We start from the raw sequence: 26,066 nt of genomic DNA, 5'->3' as shown, positions 1-26,066 counted from the left end.
CCCAGTGCTGCTGCAGGGAGATGGGCACAGACCTGGACTTGAGCCCGCCCAGCATACATGTCAGACACCTCGTGACCAGTGAGAATTCATCTGGCTTGAGTCCTTGGCTCCTCTGCTGCCAACTCGATGTCAAGACCTGGACCGACCTTTCTGAATGACCCATAAAGGAGAAGGTGTAGGGGAAAATATAGGGGTTTTTTCCCTACATTTTCTCCTCTATAGAGGAGCTATATCCATATCTATCTGTATCCATCTATCTATCTATCTGTCAGTCTGTCAGTCGATCAGTCAATCAATCAGTCTATCTATCTATCCATCCATCCATCCTCCTGTCTGCCTGCCTGCCTATCTGCTATCCATCCATCCATCCATCCATCCATCCATCCATCCATCCATCCATCCATCCTCCCGTCTCTATCTGCCTGCCTATCTGCCATCTATCTTCCTATCTATCTATCCATCCTCCTGTCTATCTGCCTGCCTATCTGCTGTCTATCTATCCATCCATCCATCCATCCATCCTCCTGCCTGTCTTCCTGTCTATCTGCCATCTATCTTCCTATCTATCTATCTATCCATCCATCCATCCTCCTGTCTATCTGCCTGCCTATCTGCTATCTATCTATGCATCCATTCGTCTATCCTCCTATCTGTCTGCCTGTCTCCTATCTATCTATCCATCCATCCATTCATCCATCCATCCTTCTGTCTATCTGCCTGCCTATCTGCTATCTATCTATCCATCCATCCATCCATTCATTCATTCATCCATCCTCCTGTCTGTCTGCCTGCCTGCCTGCCTATCTGCTACCGATCTATCTACCTATGTCTGTGTATGCATCTATCTATCATCCATGTGTGTACCCGTCTATCCATTCATTTGTTGATCTATTGTCTGTCTGTTCAATCATCCATCTATGTATCTGTCTACCTACCTGTCCATCCATCCATCATCTGTCTATGCATCCATCCATCATCTGTCACCTGTCTACCTGCCTGTCTATCTGTATGTCTCTATATCCATCTGCCTATCCATCTACTCATCTATCTATTATCCATCTATGCAGGTATCCATTTATTCATGCGTCATCCCCTGTCTATCTGCCTATCTGTGTGGAACTCATTAATTTCTATCATTATTGTGAAGTTGATTTTGGAAACTTCATCCTCCTTTGGTCTTAGCGTGTGGGGTTCAGGGTGGGAAGGGCAAATGGTCAAAGTCATGTTTCCTGGCTCCACAGTCCCTCATGGTTAACCAGTCTCTCAGCTCCTAGGGCTCAGCGAACCAAACAATGCGGACAGTAAAGCTGCAAAGTGGGAAGTGAGAGGCAGGGAGGAGGCATGACGTCTGCCTCGGGTGTTGGAGAAGAACCGTCTCCTGGGTTCTCATACCTGTGGCACCTTGCAGGGAGACAGGCCATGCTCAGGAGCCACAGAGAAATCAGAGGGTCAGAGGGCGTGGTGGGAGGGGGCAAGCAGAGGAGGAGGCCAACTTCCCGGAGGCCTTGCTCAAGGTCCCTTCCTGGGAGGACTCAAAGGCCCATAGCAGAGAGAAACACTGTGATTCTGAACAAAGACCATAGTGATCCCAGGGAGGAGAGGTGCCCACTCCTGGATCCTGGCAGGAGGCAGGTGGGGCACACGTTCCAGGGACGCTGGCACTCATGGATGGAAGCCGGAGGCCCTAAGCCCCACGGAACAGGTGCTGCCCCCCACCATCTGCAGTTAGGCAGCTCAGGAGCAGAGCTGCTGGTGGCGGTAAGCCTCTCTGTCAGGCAGGCAGAGCAGGGGGTGGCCCAGGAGTGCTGGCCACAGGTGCACAGCTGGGACATGCCCCCGGGACATCAGGTGGCCTCATGTCCTCAACATCCACATGAGTTTACCTGGTACCAAGAGAGGGATCATCTTAAAAGAAGGCAAAATGTAAAAGAAATTTGGAAGCAAGGTTCTTTGAGTTTTTCCACCTTCTCTCCCTCCTCCCCGCTCTGCCCTCATCTCCACCCACTTCTTTATTTATCACTCATCCCCTGAAATCTCTGAGGAAGGCACGCTACTCTGGGGACCTAAGCCACACATCAGCCTCTCTCAAGCATCAGAGGAGAGGTTTCCATGGGAAGCAGCACGGTGTGGCTGGTGAGAGACCCTAGGACCCCCCGTCTGCAGCAGCCCGTGCCACCAGGTGTGAGGAGGGCCTCCCGGACCCAGACCTGGCAGGTGATGCCACCGCAGTCCTGAGCCATCTCGATGAGGCCATAACACATGCCCGTGGCAGTGCCAGCTCTGCACCTTATCTAGACGTGTGCAGTGCATGCATATGGCATGTGTCATGCATGTGCACAGAGGAAGCCTGTACCTGGTTCACAGACAGGGATGTCCCCATTAAGAGACCCTGTTATGATGTCATGGAGATGGCTCATGCCTGTTATGGGGTCACCTGCCAGGTCTGGGTCCAGGAGGCCCTCTTCACACCTGGTCGTGTGGGCTGCCCTAGGTGGGGAGACCTGTGGCCTCTCATCGGCTGCACTCTGTGGCTCCCCATGGAAACCTCTCCTCCAATCCCCTGAGTTTACCACTCAAACCAGTCACTGGGCCCCATAGCAACCAAGGCTGGCAACGGCGCCTGCCGCCCGGGAGAAAAATTAGCAAAATCGCTTTCTCTTGGGGAGGGTGTGTGTGTGTGGGACTTTCATTATATAATAGGCCAATGTTTCCAGCTCACTTTCTAAAAATGCAGAGGGTCCTCCAATGGGCATGCATGGCCTGAGGTCACTGTGGCATGTTATTGGTCCCTGTGGTCTCCAGAAGGGCTGCAGGTGACCCTCCCAAGGTCCCAGGGAGTAGCCTGGGTCTGTGCTCCTTGGGGAGGGCAGGGGCTCTGCAGAAAGCCAGGCAAGGAAGGAGGGAGGTTCTGCCCTCGACTCCCCAAGGGGCAAACACTCGCAGGTGCTGCCCTTCTCCATCCTGGGTCACCCACCTATCTGGGGCAGCTTTGCTTCCCTTCCACTGCCTGTGCTCGCCCCCCGCCCCCCAGGACTCTTCCTGATCACCAAGGCCTGTGGCTTTGTGATGCTCAACCAGAGAACAATCCGGGAGAGGGTGCGGGGCCTCACAAGCCTAGGGCTTCCAGGCTAGAGGAGGGAGGAGGCCGCTGGGGCCCAGTCCCACCTGACATGCTGGAGAGATCTTGTCCCCAGCCCCACGGGGTAGAAAACACAGCCCAGCAGAGGCCGGGTCTGGGACCTTGGCTTGGAGCTGCCAGGTGTCTCCACACATGCACTTTGGGCAGAGGGAGCCTCATGGGCCAGCCCTTGGATGTGGATATGGAGACGACCTCTGGGCTGGGAGATCCAGCTGGGTTGTTCCTGGGGGCCGTGGGGATGCCCAGAAGCTTTGCTCAGGGAGAGGGGAATGGGTGCAGACATCGAGGACAGATGGAGCCGGAGGAGTGGCTTTGTGGAGGCGTAGAGAGAAACATCCAGGCTAGGGAGGGATTCTGTCCAGGCGGCCTGCACTGCCCAGGCCGCGATCCCGTGCCTACTCCCTGCTGGGCGGATGAGAGGCCACCGGGGGCTGAAGCATGGCTACCTGCCGAGTGACTCCCTAACCTCACTGCTTGCTGTGGGTCCAGGGCAGGCCCCGACGGGAGCCCTCCAGGCCAGAAGCTGGCCACGGGGCTGCTCCTCCGAGGCTGAGGCAAAGCTTAGGCTAGTTAACATGCAGGGAGTGTTGCACTTGGAGAAATTTAGATGTATTTTTTTTTTTTTTGTGCATGTGTGCTTGCATGTAAATGTGGGTAGGTGCTGTCCTGATTGATGGCAATTAGCATTTTCTAACGGGAACAGATGTTCAGATTGCCAGGAGGCTGGTACCTAACGCCCACGCTGCCATCTGTTCGCTGGGCAGGGCCAGGGGAAGCAGCCCCGACCCGTGGCCCTCCAGTCCTCCGTGGTGTGTACTTAACAGGATTGCGTGAGATTGTTTCTGGAGGGAAGAAAAATAATAATAAAGATGTTTTCGGGATTATAAATAGTTCATGCTGTTTATTATGGGATGGAGCTTTTCTCTGACGAGCAGCTCTGGTTTCTATGTGGCCTGAACAAAGGGAGCTCTGAATGGAATGCACAATGTCAGCTCCCGTGTCGGGGTGAGGGGAGGCCGCCTCGGGAAGCCAAGGTCGTGGTGCGTTTCATCGGCTCGAGGGTCTGAGGGCCAGAGGAGGAAGACACGAGGGAGGTGGAGAGAAGTCAGAGGGTTTAACTCGGGGTTTGCAGTCCTTCACTTCCACCTCGCCTTCGGAAGGCTGAGCTCATAAACGGGAGACCCTTGGGTCCCCATGGCAGTGTGGCAGGTGGGGGCTCAGAGCTGGGGCCACCTCGTGGTTCCCCACTTGCTAACTTGCCGAGCCTCACCCTCTTCACCTGTCAAATCGGGTTAGTGACCATCCGACTTCACTGAGCTTCTGCAGGGACTGAGGACTCATTCACAACAGGGCGAGCACTGTGCCAGCACGTTGCTGGCATCTGAGCGGCTGGGGCTGGCCTGTTCTCAGCTGTCCTCGGGGCCGCGGAGGGAAGGCCCTGGCCTCAGTGTGCCTGGCACCCTGCACTTCTTTCTGTGGTCAACCAAGGTGGCTCTTACGATGCTCCCAGCAGTGGCAGAAATGTATTCTCCTTCTTTTTCTTTTTTCCTTTTTGGCTTCTTAAGGCAAAACAGTTTGTTTGTTTGCTCACTTGCTATAAAAAGAGTTGCCTCCCTTCCTCCCTTCTCCTTGCCTCCCCCCGGCGTCTGCATCACGGCACGTTCCTCCAGCAGGCAGATGTCTGCGGGGGAATCTGTCGCCTGTCCTCGGGCCGCCCCGACAGATGTACTGGGCATCCTTCCTCTGTGGGCCGAGGTGCACGTGACACCTCTGTGTCCCTGCTCCGCCTTGATGGGCATCCTCCCCAAGTTGGCGGTATTGATGGACGGCACCTTGGGCAGGCACAAAGGCCCGTCCACGTAAACATTCCCCTCTTCTCCGGGCTGTCGCTAACATTTCCCCCAACGTCTTTCTGGGAATTTTCTCTGTCCGTTGGAAGAAGCTTGAAGGAGAGGAAATCGGCCAGTCTCCTTGGTGGTGAAGGGAGAGCGAACATTTCCTGATGTGCGCCCGTTTCGCAGAGGCCTCGCCACAGAGCACGAGGAGCTGGTGCACTCCTGCGTCTTCCCATCTGGATTTCCTGGTCTGGGTCCAGCAAAGCAGCAGTCAAGTTCCCCATCATTGGTGGTTGCCAAGGGCTTACGGTTAAGCCCAGGAGGAGTTTGTTTTTGCAGAGCAGCCCTAGGAAAGCTGTCACGGCTGCTACCAATGGTGGTGGAGGTGGCAGTGGCAGTGGCGATGGTGGTGGAGGTGGCAGTGGCGATGGTGGGGAGGTGGCAGTGGCAATGGTGGTGGTGGTGGCAGTGGTGATGGCGATGGTGGTGGCAGTGGCAGTGGCGATGGGGAGGTGGCAGTGGCAATGGTGGTGGTGGCAGTGGTGATGGCGGTGGAGGTGGCAGTGGCAGTGGAGATGGTGGTGGAGGTGGCAGTGGCAGTGGTGATGGCGGTAGAGGTGGCAGTGGTGATGGCGGTGGAGGTGGCAGTGGCGGTGGAGGTGGCAGTGGTGATGGCAGTGGCAGTGGCAATGGCAGTGGAGGTGGCGGTGGCGATGGTGGTGGAGGTGGCGGTGGCAGTGGCGGTGGCGATGGCGGTGGAGGTGGCGATGGTGGTGGAGGTGGCGGTGGCAGTGGCGATGGTGGTGGAGGTGTCAGTGGTGATGGTGGTGGAGGTGGCAGTGGCGATGGTGGAGGTGGCAGTGGCGATGGCAGTGGCAGTGGCGATGGCAGTGGAGGTGGCAGTGGTGATGGCGGTGGAGGTGGCAGTGGCGATGGCGGTGGCAGTGGCAATGGCAGTGGAAGTGGCGGTGGCGATGGTGGTGGAGGTGGCGGTGGCACTGGCGGTGGCGATGGCGGTGGAGGTGGCGATGGTGGTGGAGGTGGCGGTGGCAGTGGCGATGGTGGTGGATGTGTCAGTGGTGATGGTGGTGGAGGTGGCAGTGGCGATGGTGGAGGTGGCAGTGGCGATGGCAGTGGCAGTGGCGATGGCAGTGGAGGTGGCAGTGGCGATGGCGGTGGCAGTGGCGATGGCGGTGGAGGTGGCAGTGGCGATGGTGGTGGAGGTGGCGGTGGCAGTGGCGGTGGCGATGGCAGTGGCGATGGCGGTGGAGGTGGCAGTGGCAAAGTCGGTGGAGGTGGCAGTGGCGATGGCGGTGGAGGTGGCAGTGGCGATGGTGGTGGAGGTGTCAGTGGCAATGGTGGTGGAGGTGGCAGTGGCAGTGGCGATGGTGGTGGAGGTGGCAGTGGCAACAGGGCAATCGAACGATGCTCAAAGAGGCTTCTCTTGCTTTCTCTCCTCCACCTTGGAATGGGCTTGGGCTGAGAGTGTCCCAGAAGAAGTAAATGTCAGATAACCGCTGTGTCTGGGCTGGAGACGCTCTGTGTGAGCTTTCAATATGGCAGCTAATGGGTTGGAAAGATAGACGTGTGTGTAGTCATTTCCCCAGTTTTATAATTCCGTATCTGGGACTTTATTTCATCTTTACGTCTTGCTTCTTTCTCTCCAGAAACCAATTTTACTTTATATCAGGACTTCTCAACCTCAGCACTAGTGATGTTTTGGGCTGTAGGACACTGAGCAGGATCCCTAACTTCTGTCTACTGGAGGCAGTAGCAATCCCTCCACTAAGTAGTAACAACCAATAATGTCTCCAGGCATTTGTCTCATGTCCCCTGGGGAGCAACACTTGCCCCCAGTTGAGAGCCACTGTTAATTTATTCTTGAGTGACTTCATTTCTAACATCTAACGTTGAGGGCTAACTGTGCGTAAGACACCGTCTATGCCTTCCTAAGCATTGAATCCATGTAATGCTCCATGACTTTTCTTTTTAATCATTCTTTCCACCCTACAGAAGAGAAATCTGCAGTCCAGCAGTGTTAGAGAACTTGCCCAAGGTCACACCATTAGTGCCTTGGTGGCAGAGCTGGGAGTCAGGCTCAGGCAGCCTGTGCATCTTATCGTTACATCGTTCATGCATCTCATGAGTGTTTGTTGGCCACGTACTATTTGCGGGGCACTGTCTTAGGAGCTTGGTACTCATTGATGGATAGAGATAGAAATACCTACCCTCATAGAACTTGTGTTCTAGAGAGAGAGGCAGACACTGAACACATCCATAAATTGTACAGTTTGTTAGCAGGTTAATTTTCTAGGGCTACCAGAACAAATTACCAAAATCTAGGTGGCTTAGAACAACAGAAATGTAATCTCTCACAATTCTGGAGGCCAGAAGTGAGAAATCAAGGTGCCCGTTGGCAGGACTGGTTCCTTCTGGAGGCTTTGAGGAAGAACTTCCCTTGCCCCTTGCACCTTCTGGGGGTTGCTGGCCACCCATGGCGTTCCTCAGCCTGTGTCTGCATCCCTCCAGCCTCTACCTCTGTGTCACATGGCCTTCTCCTCTGTGTCTCTGTCCAAATCCCCATCTTTTTCTTATAAACATGCCAGTCATTGGATTGGAGGCCCATCCTAAATCCAGGACAATTTCGTTTCAAGAGCTTTGACAAATGACATCTGTGCAGACCCTGTTTCCGAATAAGGTCATTTCTGAGGTTCTGGGTATATCTGAGTTCTGGGCGTCCACTGTTCAACCCACTGCAGTAAGTGATGCTCACCATGGGGAAATGGGCAGTGTGCCGAGACCCTGTGCTCAGCAGGGCTGGGGACACTTCACAAGGCATAGAAAGGATAAGATGTAGTCTATAATTGTTAAAATGGTATAGTTCCACCTACAAATGCTGTTGGAGTTCAAAGAAGGCGGAAATGGTTGGAGATGCAATCTCTCCATCTTCCTCCTCCTTCCCAGCTGTTCAACTCACTGTCCCAGGGAGAATGGAAGACTTGGGTGGTGGTATTCAGAAGCAGAACAGAAAGAATGTGAATGAGAAGAGAATATTTCTCTGTGACAGCCAGAGGTCCTCATGGGCTGAGTTCTCATGACTCACCATCTTTTATTCATTCCTCATTGAATCCTGGGCCTTCAGTGGTATTTGTGAAATGAAAGGATGTGTTAGTCATCACGCTGGGTCCTCAGGATCCCAGATGAATGTAATGTGTACCCCCAACAACCCCCTTGGGGAGCTTGCCGTTTCATGGAGGAGACAGATAGGTTACAGTTTATGCATCCTTTGCAGTGAGGCAGAACAAACACTTTGGGGGCCCAGTGGAAAGGCTTTTGAGTGGGTTTTGAAGCATGCACAGAAGTTTTCTGGCAAGAACTGGTGAGCATGGAACTGCACACAGAGCAAAGGCATGGAGGTTTAAAAAAAAAGACACTGTTTTAGTCCATTCTGTGTTGCTGTAATAGAATACTACAGACTGGGTAATTTGTAAATGATAGACATTTACTTGGTCCTTGCTTCTAGAGGTTGGGAAGGCCAAGAACATGGCCCTGGCATCTGGTGCAGGTCTGCATCCTCCCACGGTGGAAAGTGGAAGGGCAAAAGAGCATGAGCAAGAGGGAGCTGAACTCACTTTTATAACAAACCCACCCTCGTGATAATGAACCCACTCCCACAATAACTACATTAATCTATTCATGAGGGCAGACTCTCATGACCTCATTACCTTTGTTAGGCCCCACTTCTCAACATCCTGTGGCAGGAATAAGTTTTCAACACGTGAACTTCAGGAGACATATTTAAACCATCATAGCATGGCTTATGTAAGTGCAGCAAGAGAGCTCAGAGTGGCTGGGGCATGGGGCTTGAGGCTGAGGGCGTGGCCCTAGCTGGCACAGTCCTGCGAGCTCTGCCTGCAGGGAGGGAGAGCTAGACCTGATGAGCTTGATTCTGGGGAGCTGACTGTGGTGGGAGTGTGGTGGATGATAGACTGGAAGCCTTTTAGGAAGCTGCTGCTGGAGTTGAGGTAGAGAGGACAAAACTCAGAACTCACCTGGGAGCAGAAGAGTCAGAGAGGGGCCCATTTTTTTTTAATGAGGTAAAATTGTACATAACATAACATGAACTATTAATTGATTCAAAGGGTGCGATTCAGTGGTATTCAGTACATTGAGAATATTGTGCAACCATCATCTGTGTCAAGTTCTAGAACACTTTCATCATCCCAGAAGGAGATCCTGTACTCATTAGCAGCCTCTCCCCATCCCCTCCCGTAGCCCTTGGCAACTGCCCCTCTGCATTCTGTCCTGTGGATTTGCCTGTTCTGAGTGTTTTGTAGAAATGGAGTGAAACCTGCCCTTCTGCAGCACATTGCAGCACCTGTCCATGCCTCATTCCTTTTTGCAGCTGAGTAATCTTCCGCTGCTTGGACCTACCATTGAGTTTATCCATTCAACCATCAAGGGACGTTTGACTATTGACTATTCCAGTCACACAATAGACATGTGGGACTATTTTCTGAAGATTTCTGGTGCTCAAAATGTGTTTGTAGAATGAGGAAATGAAACAGTAACCCTGAATCCCATACCCCTCACTCTTAAATCCCCTCTCCCCCAACCTCACCATCATCATCTCTGTGTCCCACCTGCAAGGAACAGGTGTGTTCCAATACCTGCCATTGTGTCAAGGGACCTTATTCTTAGCCTTTAAGAAGGTGGCCAGTGTTGAGGGTGGCCTGGAAGTCTCTAGGATTGGTGGGGGTGGGGGTGGTGGACTTGACTTCCAGGGGAACACAGCACTGCCCCGTGATTGCCTGGTCCCTCGCCTGGTGTCCTGCAGCCTGGAGTACCATCTGGTCCTTGGCATCCCCTTCCTCTGCCGGGCAGGACGTTGCCCAGTGCCATCCGCCCCACTGTGCTCTGTACCATCTGGTCACACTGGGTTCCACAGGACTCCCCACTTCTTGGAGAAAAATGAAGTCCAGCCTTGGAGGGTGGGTGGAGGGAAGAGAGTCCTGAACGCTCTGCACATCCGCCCCTGCCCTCCAGCCTCCCCAGCGCCTCCCACATGGCCAGCACCAGCTAGTGGAAGAGCAGCAGCTCTCTCTGCCTCCAGAGCCTCGGAACCTCCAGGGCCCCATAGAGGTGACGCTGCGGCATTGCTGCTGTCCCTATGCACTCTGAGAGCCACCTGGGCCTGTGAGTCATGCCAGAAGAGGGACCTGGGGACTCTACTCTTGGGAGCAGCAGGCTGTGGAGTGCCTAGGGGAGGGGTTCTGTGTGCCTGGGCTGCAGAGCTGGTCAGGTCTGGGTGCTGCAGAGATGATACAGACAGGGAGACCCTGAGAAGGACGAAGTGGGCACAGGTGGAGGCCTGGTAGCCCACGGCCGCGCTTCACATTCTGCACAGGCAGGTGCCCCAGCTTCCTGTGCTTGCCATTAGATCCAGCCATGCTGCTTGGAGGGACAGAGAGAGGGAACAGTACCCGGGAACCAGAGATGGAGGGGAGTGTGAAGGCAGGAACAGGAGAGGAAGCTGGTGGCTGTTTCTCAGCTGGGCCTCCTGTGGCAGGGGTGAGGGCTTCAACATCTCGCTCCTTATTCTCTCCCTGATTTGCCACCCAGAGTCCCCGGACACCAGGAAATTGCTCCTCCGCTCAGGAAGCAGACTGCCCAGCTGCTGCCCCCGCCCCAGCTCAGCTGAGCTGCCCTAGCACTGCAGAAGAGCTCACTTACTTGCTGTGACAATTCTTAGTTTTCAACCTTTTTTTTTTTTAATTAAATAAACCCCAACCCAGGCTTTTGTGCTGATGCAGCAGTTCCGTATCTCAACTGCGGTGATGGTCGCACGATGCTGCACATGTGATAACATGGCAAAGAGCTACATATCTCACGCACACGCACACACAGGCATGCACACACAGATGCACACACGTGTGTATATCACTGGGGAATCTGAGTCAGCCCTGTGTACTGCCCCATCTCGGTTTCCTGGTTGCATGGTGGTTACGTGAGACGTCAACATTGCGGGGAGCTGAGTGAAGGGTGCGAGGCACCTGTACATTTCTCTGCCCCTTCTAGTGAATCCGTAATTATTTCCCAACAAAAAACAAAAACAAGGCCCTGACAGATTCAGAGCATATGAGTCAGGCAGCGCAGTCCCATTAAGGGTAACCGTGTGCGCCGACTGCTTCGAGACACTGCGTGCCTGCCTACCATGTGGGCCTGGCAGACGGACCTCTCCCTGCTCCTTCCCTGCCCAACTGCCTGCTCTGTTACCCACCTGGGGAGGCACACCCGGGTCCCCCGCCCTGCAAAGATGGCCTGGGCCTGGTTGCATGATTGCGAGGTCAAGGGACTTGGGGATTTCTGCTGCCCTGGCCCAGGTGAGGTTGTGCTGTGGCCTGACTGCTGGATGCAAGGACCTCTGGCTCCCCACCCACCGTGTTTTCTGGAGGAATCCATTGACTGCCACACCCTTTCCTGAACACCTTCTTTCTGCCGTTGTGCTGGGCTGTGTTCTTCAAGTCGCCTCTGCTCTTAGAGGTCACGTTCCGTTTCCTTATGCACTGAAGGGTCTCAAGGGTTTTCCTGCACCTCCCCACACTGGACTCGCTGCCTGAGGGCAGGGATCTCATGGCTGTTGTGTGCAGGGACATCGCGGGGACAGCCCCAGGGCCTGGCTGGCCTAGGACGCATTCATTCTCTGCATCTCTTTGGGAGCAGAGACCAGCTGTTGCTCTGTGCTGCCACACTGCCACTGTCCTGGGGAGAGAGGGCGCCCCAACTGCCCCGGAAACGGAGGTCCCGGGGCATCTACACGGGGCTGCTGGCCCTGGGCTTCAGGAAGAGCCGCTGGGATGTTGAGCAGGACATGAAGGCGCGTTAGAAGGAGTTAGCGGCCACGTGTCTTGGTTGGGTGATTTCACAGATCTCTGGAAGTCGATGACATTTGCGGAGATTAGAAAGGCCGTACCCCCATTCATGAGCCATATTAAAGCAACCCCTCCCCTCAACACCCCAGTGAGGAGTGATGGCACACACCACATGGTGAGAGCTATTGATTCCAGCCTGTGTCCTGTGTCTCCACAACAGCTCCTTTTCCACTGCTACCCGAGGCCATGCCATGAGGCCCTCATCCGTCCGACCATCAACCCTGAAATATTCTAACAAGGCCCTACTCCATGCTGGACATGGGCCCAGGCCTTCTGCTCAGGGGACCAGGAAGTAGGGCAGCCATGCCCCCAGGAGCCCATGCCCTGGGGAGGAGGGTGCCTGTAGACCTCACCCTGCCTGTCTACACCTGTGCCACGTGTGTGTCATCTGTGTCAACCTATCTCATTATCTTCTCTATCAATATACCTATGCCTGTACCTCTGCCTATAACACACACATACAATTCATGACTAACTGTTGGAAGGACTCCCATGGGAATGGGCAGGTGCTGTGATACAGAACAACTTGGGGGATTTAGGATGGGAGGAGGCAGCCCTGTGCTGAGTGGGTGGCTGGGGACAGAGAGTAGAGGGCTGGTCCAGGCAGTGGGACTGACTTGTGCCCAGACCTCTCGAGCTTGTGTTTGAAAGACCGAGAGAGCCGGCCGGGCCAGGGTGGGCAGAGGCAGGCTCTGAAGGGCCCTGGGGGGTTTGAATCAATTCAAGTGTGGTGGGAACTCCCGGGGGTCTGACTCAGGAGGGGCTCTGGCCTGGTATAAATATGCATTTAACAGTGTCTTTATAAAATGATGGCATCTCTGAAATTCACCGATTAATATTTTAAAAGAATGGTCTGGTATATGGTTAGAAGGAACTAGGTCAGAGGCAGAGAGACCCTTTGGGAACCCAGCGCAAAGCCTGGGTGAGAGGGGCTGGGGCTTGGTCTGGGGCGGGTTCTCTCCAGCAGGGGATGCATGGCAATGTCTGGGGTTGTCACAGCTGGGGAGGGGGCTGCCCCTGGCATCCAGTGGGTGGGGACCCAGGGATGCCAGTAAACATCCTACAGCACACGGGATGCTCCCACCAAGAAGGACCCAGCCCCAGATGTCCATGGTGCCTGGAGGGGACAGACAGGGTCAGAGTGGGAGGCGGAACAAACAGAGTTGGCGGGACGAGGGTTAGGAGAAGAGGACAGAGCAAGGATGATGCCCAGATTTTCAGGTTGAGTAGCAGAAAGAAAGACTGCGTGAGAGAGGAACAGGCTCGGGAGCACATTAAGGCTTGGGGTGGGACCCTGTCAGTGTGATGTCCTTCAGGCTTGGGCTGGGGCCCCGTCAGTGTGATGTCCTTTAGGCTTGGGGTGGGGCCTGGTCAGTACAATGTCCTTAAGGCTTGGGGTGGGACCTGGTCAGTGTGATGTCCTTAGGTTTGGGGTGGAGCCTCGTCAGTGTGAAGTTCTTGAGGTTTGGGGTGGAGCCTCATCAGTGTGATGTTCTTGAGGCTTGCGGTGGGACCTGGTTAGTGCAATGTCCGAGAGAGGCAGACGCCACGTAGCACTGGACACCTGGGTGGCCCTCGGGGGAGGCCAGGCTGGAGGTGCCGCTGCAGGTGTCAAGGGTGCATGTGGAGCATGGGGCTGTGTGTGGCTGTGCGTGTGACAGCAGCTCTGTGGATGAGTGTGAGTGTGGAATGTGTGAATGTCTGCGTCCGTCTGATGCTGTGAGCGAGTGTGTGGTGGCATGTGTGTCTGTGAATGTGATTGTGGAAGTGTGTGTGTGAATGAATGTGTGTGTGGATAGGTTCCTCTGAACGTGTGCGCATGTGAGTGTGTGACTGCGTGCGTGTGTGTGTGTGCACACACCCGTGTGCCTGGCCTCCCCCTTTCACCCTCCCTGGCCTCTGCTCAAAGGTTTCACGGGCCCCGTGGCATCTCCATGGGGCTCTGTGGTGGCAGCTCCCGTGGAGTCCTGCCTGGCCATTTCTGGACCCAGATGGCCACTCTCCTGGGCTCATCTGATTCCCACCTTCAGTTAACACTGACCCTCCTGGATGACCCTCAGGTGGTCTCTCCTGGGCAGAAGCGTGGTGCGGTTTCTTCCTGGCCAACAATTTCCGAATTTCTCCTCCCCAGATGCCACTGCTCAGGGCCTGCCTCTCCCCCTCTCCGCTCCCCCGTCACGGTAGCCTGCGCGTCTTTGGATCCTTTTGTGGCTGCTGACCTGGGAGTAGCACATCCAGCTTCCTCCAGTTATGGGGCTCATTTTTAAGATACAAGAAAAGTGGGGCCCATGTACATCCCATGGAGGGGGATGCTGCCGGGCCTGTGCACACCCCGTGGAGGGGGACGCTGTCCAGCCTGTGTGCACATACCCCATGGAGGGGTTGCTGTGGGCCTGTGCACACCCCATAAAGGGGATGCTGCCAGGCCTGCACACACCCCATGGGGGATGCTGTCGGGCCTCGTGCACGTGGCTGGCTCTGTAGCAGCCCAGTCTGAGTGGGTGCAGGTAGGCAGTATCTCCTGCCTCTGGGTGCAGGGCCCCCAAACCCCAGGCCTTGAATACTGAGGAGCTACAATGGGAGTGGGCCCATCACCACATGGGGCCATCAGATGAGACCCTGGCTCAGCTCATGTCATCTTCCAAGTCGCTCCAGTCAGTGTGGATAGGGCTGCTTCTGGAGTGGGCCACAGGAGCCCTAAGGTGGGTCAGATGTCTTTGCCTAATGAGCTGTGTGACTCCAGACAGGTCGCTTAACCTCTCTGGGCCTTTGATTCCTTGCCAAACTCCCATTTCTCCCTGTGTGGTAATGCACAGGGCCGGACGGTATGAAATTCTTCCTTGGACTTTCTTGACTGGGTCCAAGAGTGAGTGGACCCCTTTGCTGTGGACAGGCCAGGAGGACCTACAAATAGCTAGAGATTGGGGGTGCTGGGAGGGCTTGGTGGGCAAGGTGGGGGAGCGGCAGTGTTCTTGATCCCAGGAGAGGTGAGGTTGGTGGATGAGAGAGGTGGCGGGGCTGGGCCTCCGCAGAGGGCAGGCCAGGAGGGGCAGGAGGGGCTGGGCAGGGATACAGCAGACAGAGCCACCTGGCCCTGGGGCAGGACAGATGTAGGCAGCCTCGGACTCCCTGGAAGCTGGATTTGGGGGTATGCTGAGGAGAGGCCTCAAGGGAGGGCCCTGGGAGCCAGAATGATGTGCCCAGGCCTGGGGCATGCGGCTGGGTGGGGAATGGGTCCTGGCCACCCTTCTGAGAACAGGGGAGAGGTGCAGAAGGGGCTGAGGAGGTGCCAGGTTGGCATGGGGGTCAGAGCAGAGGTGATGGGGCAGGGCTCCAGACGGCATTGCCTCCCCTGGCGCATCTGAGAGGTGCCCTCCTGTGCAACCCCTTGTCAGAGCGCATTTCCTACACAGGACGTCACCAAAGACGCTTCCCAACTCACCATGGGGGGCACATGGCACCTAGCACCGCCCCAGGTCATGGCCTGCTGTCCACCCCGGGCTGAGAGGTGTCCAAGGGATCCCAGAACTCAGCTCCTGGGCATGGAGTCAGCCCCCTTTCCTCTCCTCTGCCAGCCAAGCTGTTTCGAGAGCCTCCCTCATGCCTGCGTGTCAGGCTGCAGCTTTGCATGGGGACCTGAGGGAGCTGGCAGAACATGGGAGAAGATCTCTCCCCCAGGGTCCTCTGGGGTGAGGCTCACCAGCCCCAGTCCTGTCCCAGAGATGCCTCTGCACACACCGGCACACACTGCACACACATCTACACACACACCCCATGTGCCTGGCCACACCTGCACATACCCACACATCTCCGCACCCACTCTTCTGCACACTCTTAAACGGCACTATTTCTCTCCATAACCCCTGTGGGGCTGTGGGGCTGCAGCAGGCGGCCTGCCAGTCCCCTCTGTTATCCTGGGACTCTGGGTGACATCCCTGCCTCCCACCAGCTTCCCTTCCACCACCCCAAAGGGTGCCAAGGAGATGAGGCCTGTCCCTCTGTGACCACTGAGCTGGCCACTCAGGGCCAGCCTCCCCATCTGCCGCCAGGAGGAAGAGAGGGGCCCCACTGCGACGCCCCAGCTTCTATGGCCATCTCTGCTGGCCACACAGCTCCCCCTTTCAAAAATGAGATGAAGCCACTGCCCCAGAGGGCCTAGAGTGGTTTGTTCTCTGGGCATCGCTCTGGACTTAGGGTGTGGCCAGCATGGCCGCTGGGTCTGGGCAGAGCCAACACGCACTCTTCAGCTCCGGCATAGCATGTGTAGAATGACACGGCTATTAGCATTTCATCCCGGGTTTACAGAAAGGACACACTGCCGTGACTGCAGGTTGAGGACTGCTGCAGAAATTCGCTCATTTGATCCTCAAAGCAATCTCCTGAGGGAGGCCCTGCGATCACCCCCATTCCACAGATGGGTAAACCGAGACCTGGAGAGATGAAGCCATGTGCTCCAAGCTGCACGTCTCAGTGGGTGTTGGAGGGGAGACGTGGTCCAGGTGGCCGGGGGGCCGTGAGCGGGATGGCACCACGGTGCTGCTTCCTCTCCACTGGCTTCTTGGTCCAAAGGCCCTGAGCCTGCCAAGGGTGTTTCTTCCCTGCAATGCCCCCGGGTTGTGCAAGCTCTCTGTGCCCTCCTTCACCTTTCCTGACCCTGCCGGGCCTGCTTCTCCACTGATGGCAGGGAGATGCCAACTTCTCCAGCAGTTGGCAGGGGCTGTGGCCACCAAGTCCGAGTCTCTCCCAGTGGTCCCCTCCCTCATCCCTGCTGTGTGGCTTCTTTCTTCCTGGAGCCTCCCCTCTCCGCTCTGTGACCCCATTCTCCCCTGATGGCCCTAACTTCCCTTTCCCACTCCCCCACCTCCAAGGTGATCTTTAATGACCCATTCGCTGCTGCATGCCAGAAGCCAGAGGGCAGGGGACGGTCTCCCTGAAGAAGAAAGAGCCAACAGCCTCAACCTGGACAATCATAAACCACGTCCATGTCTGAGCATCCATCTGTCCCAAGACAGTGGAGCGTCAGTGACTTGCTGGAGCTCTGCCTTCTGCGTCGAAGGCATGTGCACAAAGAATGCCCATCCGCCTTCCCTTCCACCATGACTGCTGCGTTCCTCCGCAGCGGAGGTGGTGACAGGGTGGGCCTCCATCCTGCACTGCCGATTGCCCATCTGAGCTCCCAGTCTTACTCTCTAAAAAGTTCAGTTCCCAGCTAGCCCCTACACTCTCACCTCCGCCTTCCTCCTCAAACATCCCATGTTCCTGCCAGATCACAGCATTCAGCAGTTCCCACCTCCATGCTTCCGTCTGCCCCATGCCTTCCAGCAACTTCCTTCTCCTTAATTTCAACCATTCAGAATTCTACCCATCCTTCTAGGCCAGCTGAATTCTCCTCCCCTGTAGCCACAGGGAACATAGCGTAAAGCCCTCTGGGCTCTCTAGGACTCAAAAGAGCCCTGCGGGTGTTGGTACCCCCCTGTAATTTGTGTGGATGAGGGTGCCAGTACTGGGTGGCAGGGATGCTGTGGGCGTGGGGGAAGGTGTTCTGTGGAAGCGTCTCCAGACGTGAAGCACGTATGATCCCTTGGGCACTAGGCCCCACCTAACGTACGAACACTGCGATGCTGTCATTCAGTACTCATGATGATCTGATGATGTTGGTACGCTTATTGTCACCGTTTTTCAGAGGATGAAATGGAAGGTTGCGGGGGACCCAGTGGTTTGCCCAGGGCCTCCCTGCCCATGAGTGTCAGAGCCAAGGCTTGAGCCTGGGCTGCCTCCTCACCAGGGGTGGGTGCTCCACGGATGCCTCTTGCATTGAGGGTAACTTACTGTGATGGTTCGTAGGTGATCCCCATCTGAGAGTAGGTCATTTTCCCTCCTGCCAGTTGCAATTCAAGGGCAGGCCTCACCCCCTGATTCAGGCTGAACAGTTGAGCTGCAGTCAAGGTGAAGAGATTTGTCTCTAGGGAAGATTTGAACAGACTTCCCCAGCTTCCTCTCTATCCCCAAGATGATGCTTCTGAGATGTTGACAAGCTTGTCTTCTGGGTTCAGAGCTCGGCGGAGGTGACAACGTCTTCCCGGCACGTCTTTGCCTGTGATTGTCACCCACACTGACAGTCCCGGGGGTTCAGGGTTGACTGCACTTGACTGAGCCGAATAAATTAGCATAAAACATTTAAAACCAAATTTCCTAATGTATTTTTTTTTCTCATTTACTACTCAGGTGTTTAGATATAACTTCTTCCAAATGATGCTCCTAAACATCATATGTCCCCTGATAATTGTGCCTTTCGATAGCAAATTGTCCCAGTGAAGCAAGGCAGGCGAGAGGAAGGGTTTGGCATATTTGTGGGTGGAAACTTCTGGACAGAAAACACTGCCTTGGGTGAGCCATCGGGCCCCCCAGCCTGGGCTTGGGAGTCAGAGCTCTCGGATGAGAATGCTGCACCCCCTTCTAATTGAAGGCTGCCAGCTCTGATTTAGAAAATCTCATTTTGTGCTTTTCTAAAAGTAGGTTTTACTTCTTGAATTTGTTTCCTTAGCCAGAGTTTTACTTTTTCTCTCCTCTTGGCATATATCTTTTGGGACTAGTCTTATCATTGTTATGCATGCAAACAGCACCTTGCACAGTGCTATTTTCTTGGCAGGCTACCCTGGGAGCTCCGTCGAATCCTTGCCAGACAGGGGTCCTCCTGATCTTCAGTAGTGTAGCACTTTGGATCACGATGAGTTGCTAATAGTTGTTCTTGTCTTCTTCTTCCTTAGGCCCATATACAGGTGCTCCTGGAATTATGATGGGTCACACCCCAACAAACCCACCATAAGTTGAAATTATTGCTAAGTTGAAAATATATTTAATACCCTGATAAGCCCATCATAATATAAAAAAAAAAATCAGAAGTCCAGGGTGGTCTGTGTTTGGATGAACTTGTAATTCCTCTTGGAATTTTGGGGTGATTCGTTTTCCTGGAGTCCCCATCCCAGGATGGCTCCGATGGGGACATCTGTGCCAATACCTCGGCATTTGCCTCTTCACATCTGTAGGGAGGTGCTCCTATAGGCTCCGGTGTTTTTTCCCCGTTTTATTCTTCCTACTGCCAAAGTAGCTCTTGTTCCAAGTCCAGGCCTTCATTCACAGCCTGAGAAGGGAAGTGATTAGAATTGAAATTGGAAATGGCCTCTTTTCCTTTCTGCTTAACTCTCGCCTACAGGAGGGCGGGAGGGCAGTCCACAGTGTCTGTACACCCACGGGTGACTTTTGACCTCCTTGAGTCTGGCATCCATGTTGAGAGAGTTTCTGCACACACATGGCTTCTGTTTCATCATGCGTGTGCATGTGTGTGTGTGTATGTCAGGTGTTAGAAACGTCCCATCGTTCCACGGTCTCTCTTTCTGCCTCTTCACACAGACCCATTAGTTGCATTTTGGGCTTTTTTGGCATTCCACTGTGCTAACATCTTCCCCCCTAGTGGGAAACGAGATAGCTGTGATTAGCCTAATGAGTGATTAATTAACGAGCGGGCTGGCTGGAAGATGGAAATATGCTGACCCTGCTGAACAATGGCCAGGAGGGGGCCAGCCACCCACCACAATGGTGTGCCCATCGTGACTTTAACCCTTGAGTCTTCTCCTGCCCAGACCACTCTCCTTTCTTAGTGCAGAAGTGAAGAGGTTGCATCCATGTATGTGCGCCCCCAGAGCTGGGGTCACCTGCCATCCAGCATCCGGAATGTAACGTCCACCAGCAGAGATGCTCCATTGGGTCTACGGGTGGCCAGACTCAAAGTGTGTGTGTGTGTGTGTGTGTGTGTGTTTATGTGTGCAGGTTTCAAATAAGCACATCAGTATATTCACCTATAATTGAATGATGAAAACTGACCTTAATTGGCAATTATGCAAAATTCTAGAATATTTCAGAGTAGAAGTTGTTGGAGGCTTCTGAATGGTTTTGTTGGATGAATTGGATTAGGGTGTCTGGGGTGAGCTTTGGGGAGAGCCCAGGAAATTTTGCAGACTCACCTGGAGGCAGGTTGAGAGGGGGACCCGGGAACTGTAAGGGAGAAAGTTTGGGGACAGCCCGTGTTCTAGGCTGTAGGGAGGAAGGATCGTGGGGGCAGAAAGGGGTTAACGGGGGTTAGCACAGGAAGCAAGAGAGGTGAGTGACAGGCCTCTGCTTATGTTTCATGTAGCTTCTACTGTAATTGTTAATTTTCTTCATAGAAGCTGAAAAAAACACACAGTGCCAGAAACCCATCCCGGGCCCCTCCTACCCGAACCTCTCAGCTTCAGGGGTTTTGTTTGCTCTCCCTCTCCTCTCTGTGGTAAGGGACTACAGGCACAGGCAGGAAGAGGGGTCTGGGCTCTTGACTAATACCTGTGCACCCCCAACCTGGCAAAGCAGCTCCAACCCAGTGGCCGAGGCAGGCAGACGTGAGGGTCCACAGGGGAGCGTGGCTGGCAAAGTGACCCTTCTAGTGCCCAGGACGTCAACTCTGAGCCAAATTCACCATGGGAGCCACATCCTTCTGGCCCTTTTCTCTGTGTCAGGGAACCTGCATGAGGGGTCTGGGGGCTGTTTTCCCTTCATCAGGGGCTGCCGTCCAGGTGGGGAGAGGGAGATGGCCTACTTCTGAGCCTGCGAGGCCAGATTCCTGGTGTTGAACCTGCTCTGGGAGCTCCTGCAAGTTGAAGCCCCTTAGCCCCAGTCCTTGAGTATGTCTGTATGAGTGACCTGCATCTGATATAACAAGTGACCGCTTTCTGGGGGCCTAAAACAGCAGACATGAAGTCTTGCATTTCTGGAGGCCACAAGCCTGAAATCAAGGTGTGGGCAGGGCTGTGCTCCCTCCAAAGGCTTCAGGGGAGGGTCCATCCTGCCTCCTCCAGCTTCTCGGCCCCAGGTGTTCCTTGGCTTGGAGAGGCATTGCTGCAGTCCCTGCCTCTGTCTCCACGTGGCCTTCTCTGTGTGTCATTCTTCTCTTCTGTTTCTTATGAGGACACTGATCCCTGGATTTAGGGCCCATCATAATCCAGGATGATTTCATCTTGAGATCCTTACCTTAAATTTGTCTGCAAAGGCCCTCATTCCAGATAAGGTCACAGCTTGAGGTCCCAGGTTAGGACTTGGACACATCTTTTTGGGAGACACAATTTAACCTACTACAGTGTCCAAAGGTTTCAGTTTAGAGTCTTCTGCCCAGTTTTCCAGACTCTCACACCCCCACCCCCTCTTCTGGGGGCTCCTGAACCATTGTATTAGTCTGTTCTCACACTGTTATCAAAAACTACCTGAGACTGGGTAATTTATGAAGAAAAGAGGTTTAATGGACTCACAGTTCCACAGGTTGTACCAGAAGCGTGGCTGGGAGGCCTCAGGAAACTTCCAATCATGGCGGAAGGTGAAGGGGAAGCAGGCACGTCTTCACATGGCAGCAGGAGAGAGAGCGAAGGGGGAGGTGCTACACACTTTCAAACGAACTGGGTCTTGTGTAAACTCACTCACTATCATGAGAACAACAAGAGGGAAATCTACCCCTGGGATTCAATCACCTCCCACCAGGTCCCTCCCCCAATATTAGGGATTACAGTTTGACATGCTATTTGGGTAGCGACATGAGCCGAACCATATCACCCATTTTGGGGCTCACCCTGGCCGCCCCTCAGCACGGCCCACAGCCTGCTCTGCTGAGCAATGCTCACATGGATGGCATGAAGCTTCAGAGAGAGAAGGAGCCCTCCAAATCCTTCCCCAACTGCCTGTAAGAAAATCCCCACAAGGTAAAGGCAAGGGAGTGAGGATGGTGCTTTAAGCCCAGGCTTGGGCACAGTCTTCAATTTCAGCCCCTTGGCCCTCCCTGTGCTGCATCTTGGGCAACTTCTTGACTTCTCTGTGCCTCAGTTAGTCCTTCTGTAAAATGGGACTGTGCACCGTATCACCGTACACAATAGACAGACGGGTCACAGGCTATCACAGGCAAGTCATGCCTGCTCGGTTAGGCACAACCTTCCAGATGAAGCCGGCACTCTGCCAGCAAACACGGCATCTGTGGAGGGGGAGTGGCAGTTTGTGGGACCATTTGTGCAGTGAGGTGGCTGGATGGATGAGGCTGCACATTTAATTTCCCTGCGGCTCAGAGCTCCAGCCCTGAGATTTGCTCATGGGCCTCTCAGAAGGTGGCAGAGACCTGGGCTGCATCCACTGGCAGAAGAAGCTCCAGTTCGACTGAAAAATGGAGGCATGCCGAAAGCGGGTTACAGAACTTCAGGTCTGTTTGAAATGTTTACTGCCGACAAATTCACATTTGCTGCACACATGGAAGGCAGGGACTGCACGTCCAAGCTTGTTTTGAGATAATATCAAGAGACAGAATGGAGGCATTTGAAGGGAGGCCCAGGTTGACACGGGCCCCAGCCTCACCCAAGGTAGGCTTTGGCTGTGCCTCAGGTACTCGTGTTGCAGGGCAGGCAAACTCCAAACTGGGGCTTAGCCCAGGAGAGTCCTTGGCTTCTCTCAGGAAAGAATTCAACAGCAAGCCAATGGTAGGAGAAAACAGCTTTATTGAAGCCGTGGTGTTACATCTGTGATGACGTGGCAGCTCCGTGACTGCCCCTGCAGAGCAGGGCTGCCCCATGGGCCGTGTGCAGCTCCGTGACTGCCCCTGCAGAGCAGGGCTGCCCCATAGGCCGTGTGCTGAGAGCGGCAGCTCAGGGCAGGTTTGCAGTCAGATTTATACCCACTTTTAATTGCATGCAAATTAAGAGACAGGTTATGCAGAAATTTCTAGAAAAAGGGTGGTGAGTTGTGGGTCATGGGTCATTGCCGTGGAAATGGGCAGTCACTCCTGGGTGCTGCCCAGGAGCGTTGCCATAGCAATGGTACACTAACATGGCACGCTAGTGGGCATATCTTAGGGAGAGCTGCTTCCATCCCGTTTGCTTGGCTAGTCTTCAGTTTGGTCTGATGTCTGAGCCTCACCTCTGGAGTCAAGTTCCACCTCCTGCCTCAATAGGGGTGGAGGGAGTTTATGTGAGACCCCAGGCATGACCACAATCATTCCTCTCCTCCCAGCCCTGAGGTCTGACCAGGGGTCTGCCGCATTGCTGCCTGGAGGAGAAAGGCAGCCATGTCCTGCTTAGAGCAGAGAGAGGAGCTGCTGGAATTTTTGGACGTGTGGAATCCTGTGTCCTTGGAGTATGGGAATGATGGAGGCAGCATCGCCAGGGCCCTGGAGGCTCCTGACCATCTCTAGGGCCAGCGTGCTCTCAGCTTGACCGACCATGCTGGGTGAGGAGTTCAGAGCCTCAGAGGAGCTGTCACCTCCCAGGTCCCCTACCCTTCAGGGCAGGGTTTCTAAACCTCAGCACTGTTGACATGTCGGGGGACCATTCTCTCATGTGGAGGCCGTTCCTTGCATTGTAGGATGAGCAGCATCCCTGGTTCCGCTCGCCATGTGCCAGCATCACCCCCAGCCACAGCTGTGACAACTGGAAATGTCTGCAGGCACCACCAAATGGCCCCAGGGGCAAACCCACCCCTGGTTGGAGGGCCCCTGCCCTAGGTCCACCAGTCAGACTCAGAGAGCCCCTGCCCTCTGCAAAACCTTCCCAAGGCCAAGTGATTTGGGGACTGTCCTGCAAACCCCGGCTGAATCAGAAGGTTCTAGCAATAAAACAGGGCAACACCCAGCCGAGCAGCTTCTTGTGACTCTGGGAGCACATGGAGGAGGAAGGGGTGGGCTTTGGAATGCCCCATCTTGGACTCTTCTGCCTCCCCGGCTTTGCCCCCAGGAAAGCAGGCTGTGCAGACAGATGCTTTTTGTGGGCTCTGAGCTCGGCACAGCAAGGAAGGGAAATCACAGGGGAGGAGGGTGTGGGGAGAGATGATCCTGGAAGTGGGCTTGTCTTGAAGATCTGGAAATTGCTCTGCTTGTGGGCTGGGGTAGACAGTCCTGGAAATCGAGGCGGGTCCTGAGGCCTGTGGCTGAGGTTTCTTAGAGAATCGAGTCTCCTCCTCTAAGACCCCAGAGCCCTGCAGTGCCTCCCGCACGTGGAAGGCCCTCACCCAGGCCGCTGTCATTTAGAAACTCATTTTTCATCCTTGGCTCCTGCAGCCTGAGCTTCACCTGACATTCCCACTGGGCAGTGGGACCCCCTTACAAGAAAATGTGCTCCCTAATATACATAAGAGAAATGAAAGCATATGTCTGCCATGAACACACCTACCCGTGTTCCCAGCAGCGCCATTCACAGTAGCCAAAATGTGGAAGCAACTCAATGTCTATCGACTGATGAAAAGGTCCACAAAATGGAGTCTGTCCCTGCAGTGGAATATTATATAGCCACAAATAAGCATGAAACCTGACACAGGCTCCAACACACATGAACCTTGAGGACGTCATGCTCAGTGAAAGACACAGACATAAGGCCACAGAGTGTGTGACTCCATTTTCCTGAAATGTCCAGAACAGAAAAATCTGTGGTTGCCTGTGGTTGGGGATGGGCAGTGACTGTGAATGGGTGTGGGTTTCTTTTTGGTGCAATGAAAACGTTCTAGAATTAGATTGAGTTGTAATTCCTTATATATTCTGGAAGAATATATAATATATAACTGCATATATATATTTGCATATATATAACTGACTATATATATATCTGAATGTATATTTGCTCAAGACTAAACTGTAGGCTCTTCTCTACTGCACGCTGTTGAGAAGAGCCCACAGTTTAGTTTGGAGCAAATGCGGGCTTATAAGGCACAAATCTAGACCCAGGGCTTGTGAAAGGCCAGTCCGGGAAGTGTCTGAGGGAGACTCTGGAAGCCAGGTCACATCAGGGGACAGAGAGGAGTCCAGGGTAGCCTTGGGTGCCCAGAGGAAGTGGTGGAGAGAGGTTTGGTGAGGGAGGCTGGGGTCAGGCACAGAGGGCTTTGGAGCTGTGGCTCAGAGGCACCGGCCTATGTGGGCTTTGGGCTGGCTCAAGACTTCATGGGGTGTTGCTCAGCCCATCTGCTCTGTGAGCTCAGGTTTCTTCCCCCGGCTGGTCTTCGGTGATGCATGCCCAGCTGCTTCCAACCTCACTGGGCTCAGGGTGCCTGAGAGTGGACCTGAGCCAGACGCACAGGCCATAAGAGGGGTGGGTCTTGCTGGCCCCCAACCCACAAGGGGCTCCCAGTCCCCCAGCTGAGGTCACAGAAGTTGGCTGACCCCTGAGGGTGCTGGGCAAACCTGAAGTGGGTGTCCGGTCTGCAGCCCCCTCCTTGGCCTTCTTTTCTCTCCATATCCCCAGGGTTTCCTTGTCCCTCTCAATGTATCCTTCCCACATTCTGTCCCCCTAATGATTCACTGACCTCCATGTAGCCACCCTGAACATACAGGTGTGCATTTGTGAGCAGGGCCTGCCAGGGTATGAGCTTTGACTTTGCTTCCTGCCTCAGTTTCCTCCTTTGGGAGATGGGAAGAGGGATGGCAGTGCCTGTCTCAGGCACCATGAGATGAAGTGTCACGGCACTCGGGATAGCCCAGTAAGTCACGGGTACCCTGTAGGATTTCTGTTCTCCTTGTTGGCATTCTGAGTTCTCTGCAGCCTGCCCCTCCCACCATCATCCCAGAGGGTCACTCTGGGGCTCAGCAAATAAAGGGTCGGGGGCCGAGGGAGGCAGTGGGACAGTGTGGTCATTAGACAAGGGAGAAGAGGCTGCGATCCCAAGTAGTGTGAGCATGTGAGAACGAGTGTGTGCACATGTGAGACAGTGAACAAGAGGGTGCGGTGGCTCATGCCTGTAATCCCAGCACTTTGGGAGGCCGAGGCGGGTGGATCACCTGAGGTCAGGAGTTTGTGGCCAGCCTGGCCAACATGGTGAAACCCCATCTCTACTAAAAATACAAAAATTAGCCGGGAGTGGTGTCAGGTGCCTATAATCCCAGCTACTCAAGAGGCTGAGGCAAGGAGAATCACTGGAACCTGGGAGGCAGAGGTTGCAGCGAGCCGAGATCGAGCCACTGCACTCCAGCCTGGGCGACAGAGCAAGACTGTCTCAAAAGAAAAAAAAAAGAGGCAAGGGTGTATGTGAGTGTGCATTTGTGTGTGTCTAAGCATGACTGCATTTATGTGAGTGTGTGTTTGGCAAGGCCTTGGCCTGGTCTCCCCCGTGGCGAGGCCG

At 54.4% G+C, this 26,066-nt stretch overlaps 1 protein-coding gene across 55 annotated transcripts in view; it reads left to right on the top strand.

The window, feature by feature from the left end:
* Positions 1-26,066, top strand: part of RBFOX3 (RNA binding fox-1 homolog 3) — a 576,227-nt gene that overhangs the window by 196,228 nt on the left and 353,933 nt on the right. The window lies entirely within an intron of this gene.

The sequence above is a fragment of the Homo sapiens genome, chromosome 17 (assembly GCF_000001405.40).
Source record: "Homo sapiens chromosome 17, GRCh38.p14 Primary Assembly".
NCBI lineage: Eukaryota > Metazoa > Chordata > Mammalia > Primates > Hominidae > Homo > Homo sapiens.
Note: the sequence above shows the minus strand (reverse complement) of the source record. Positions and strands in the feature narration are given on the sequence as shown.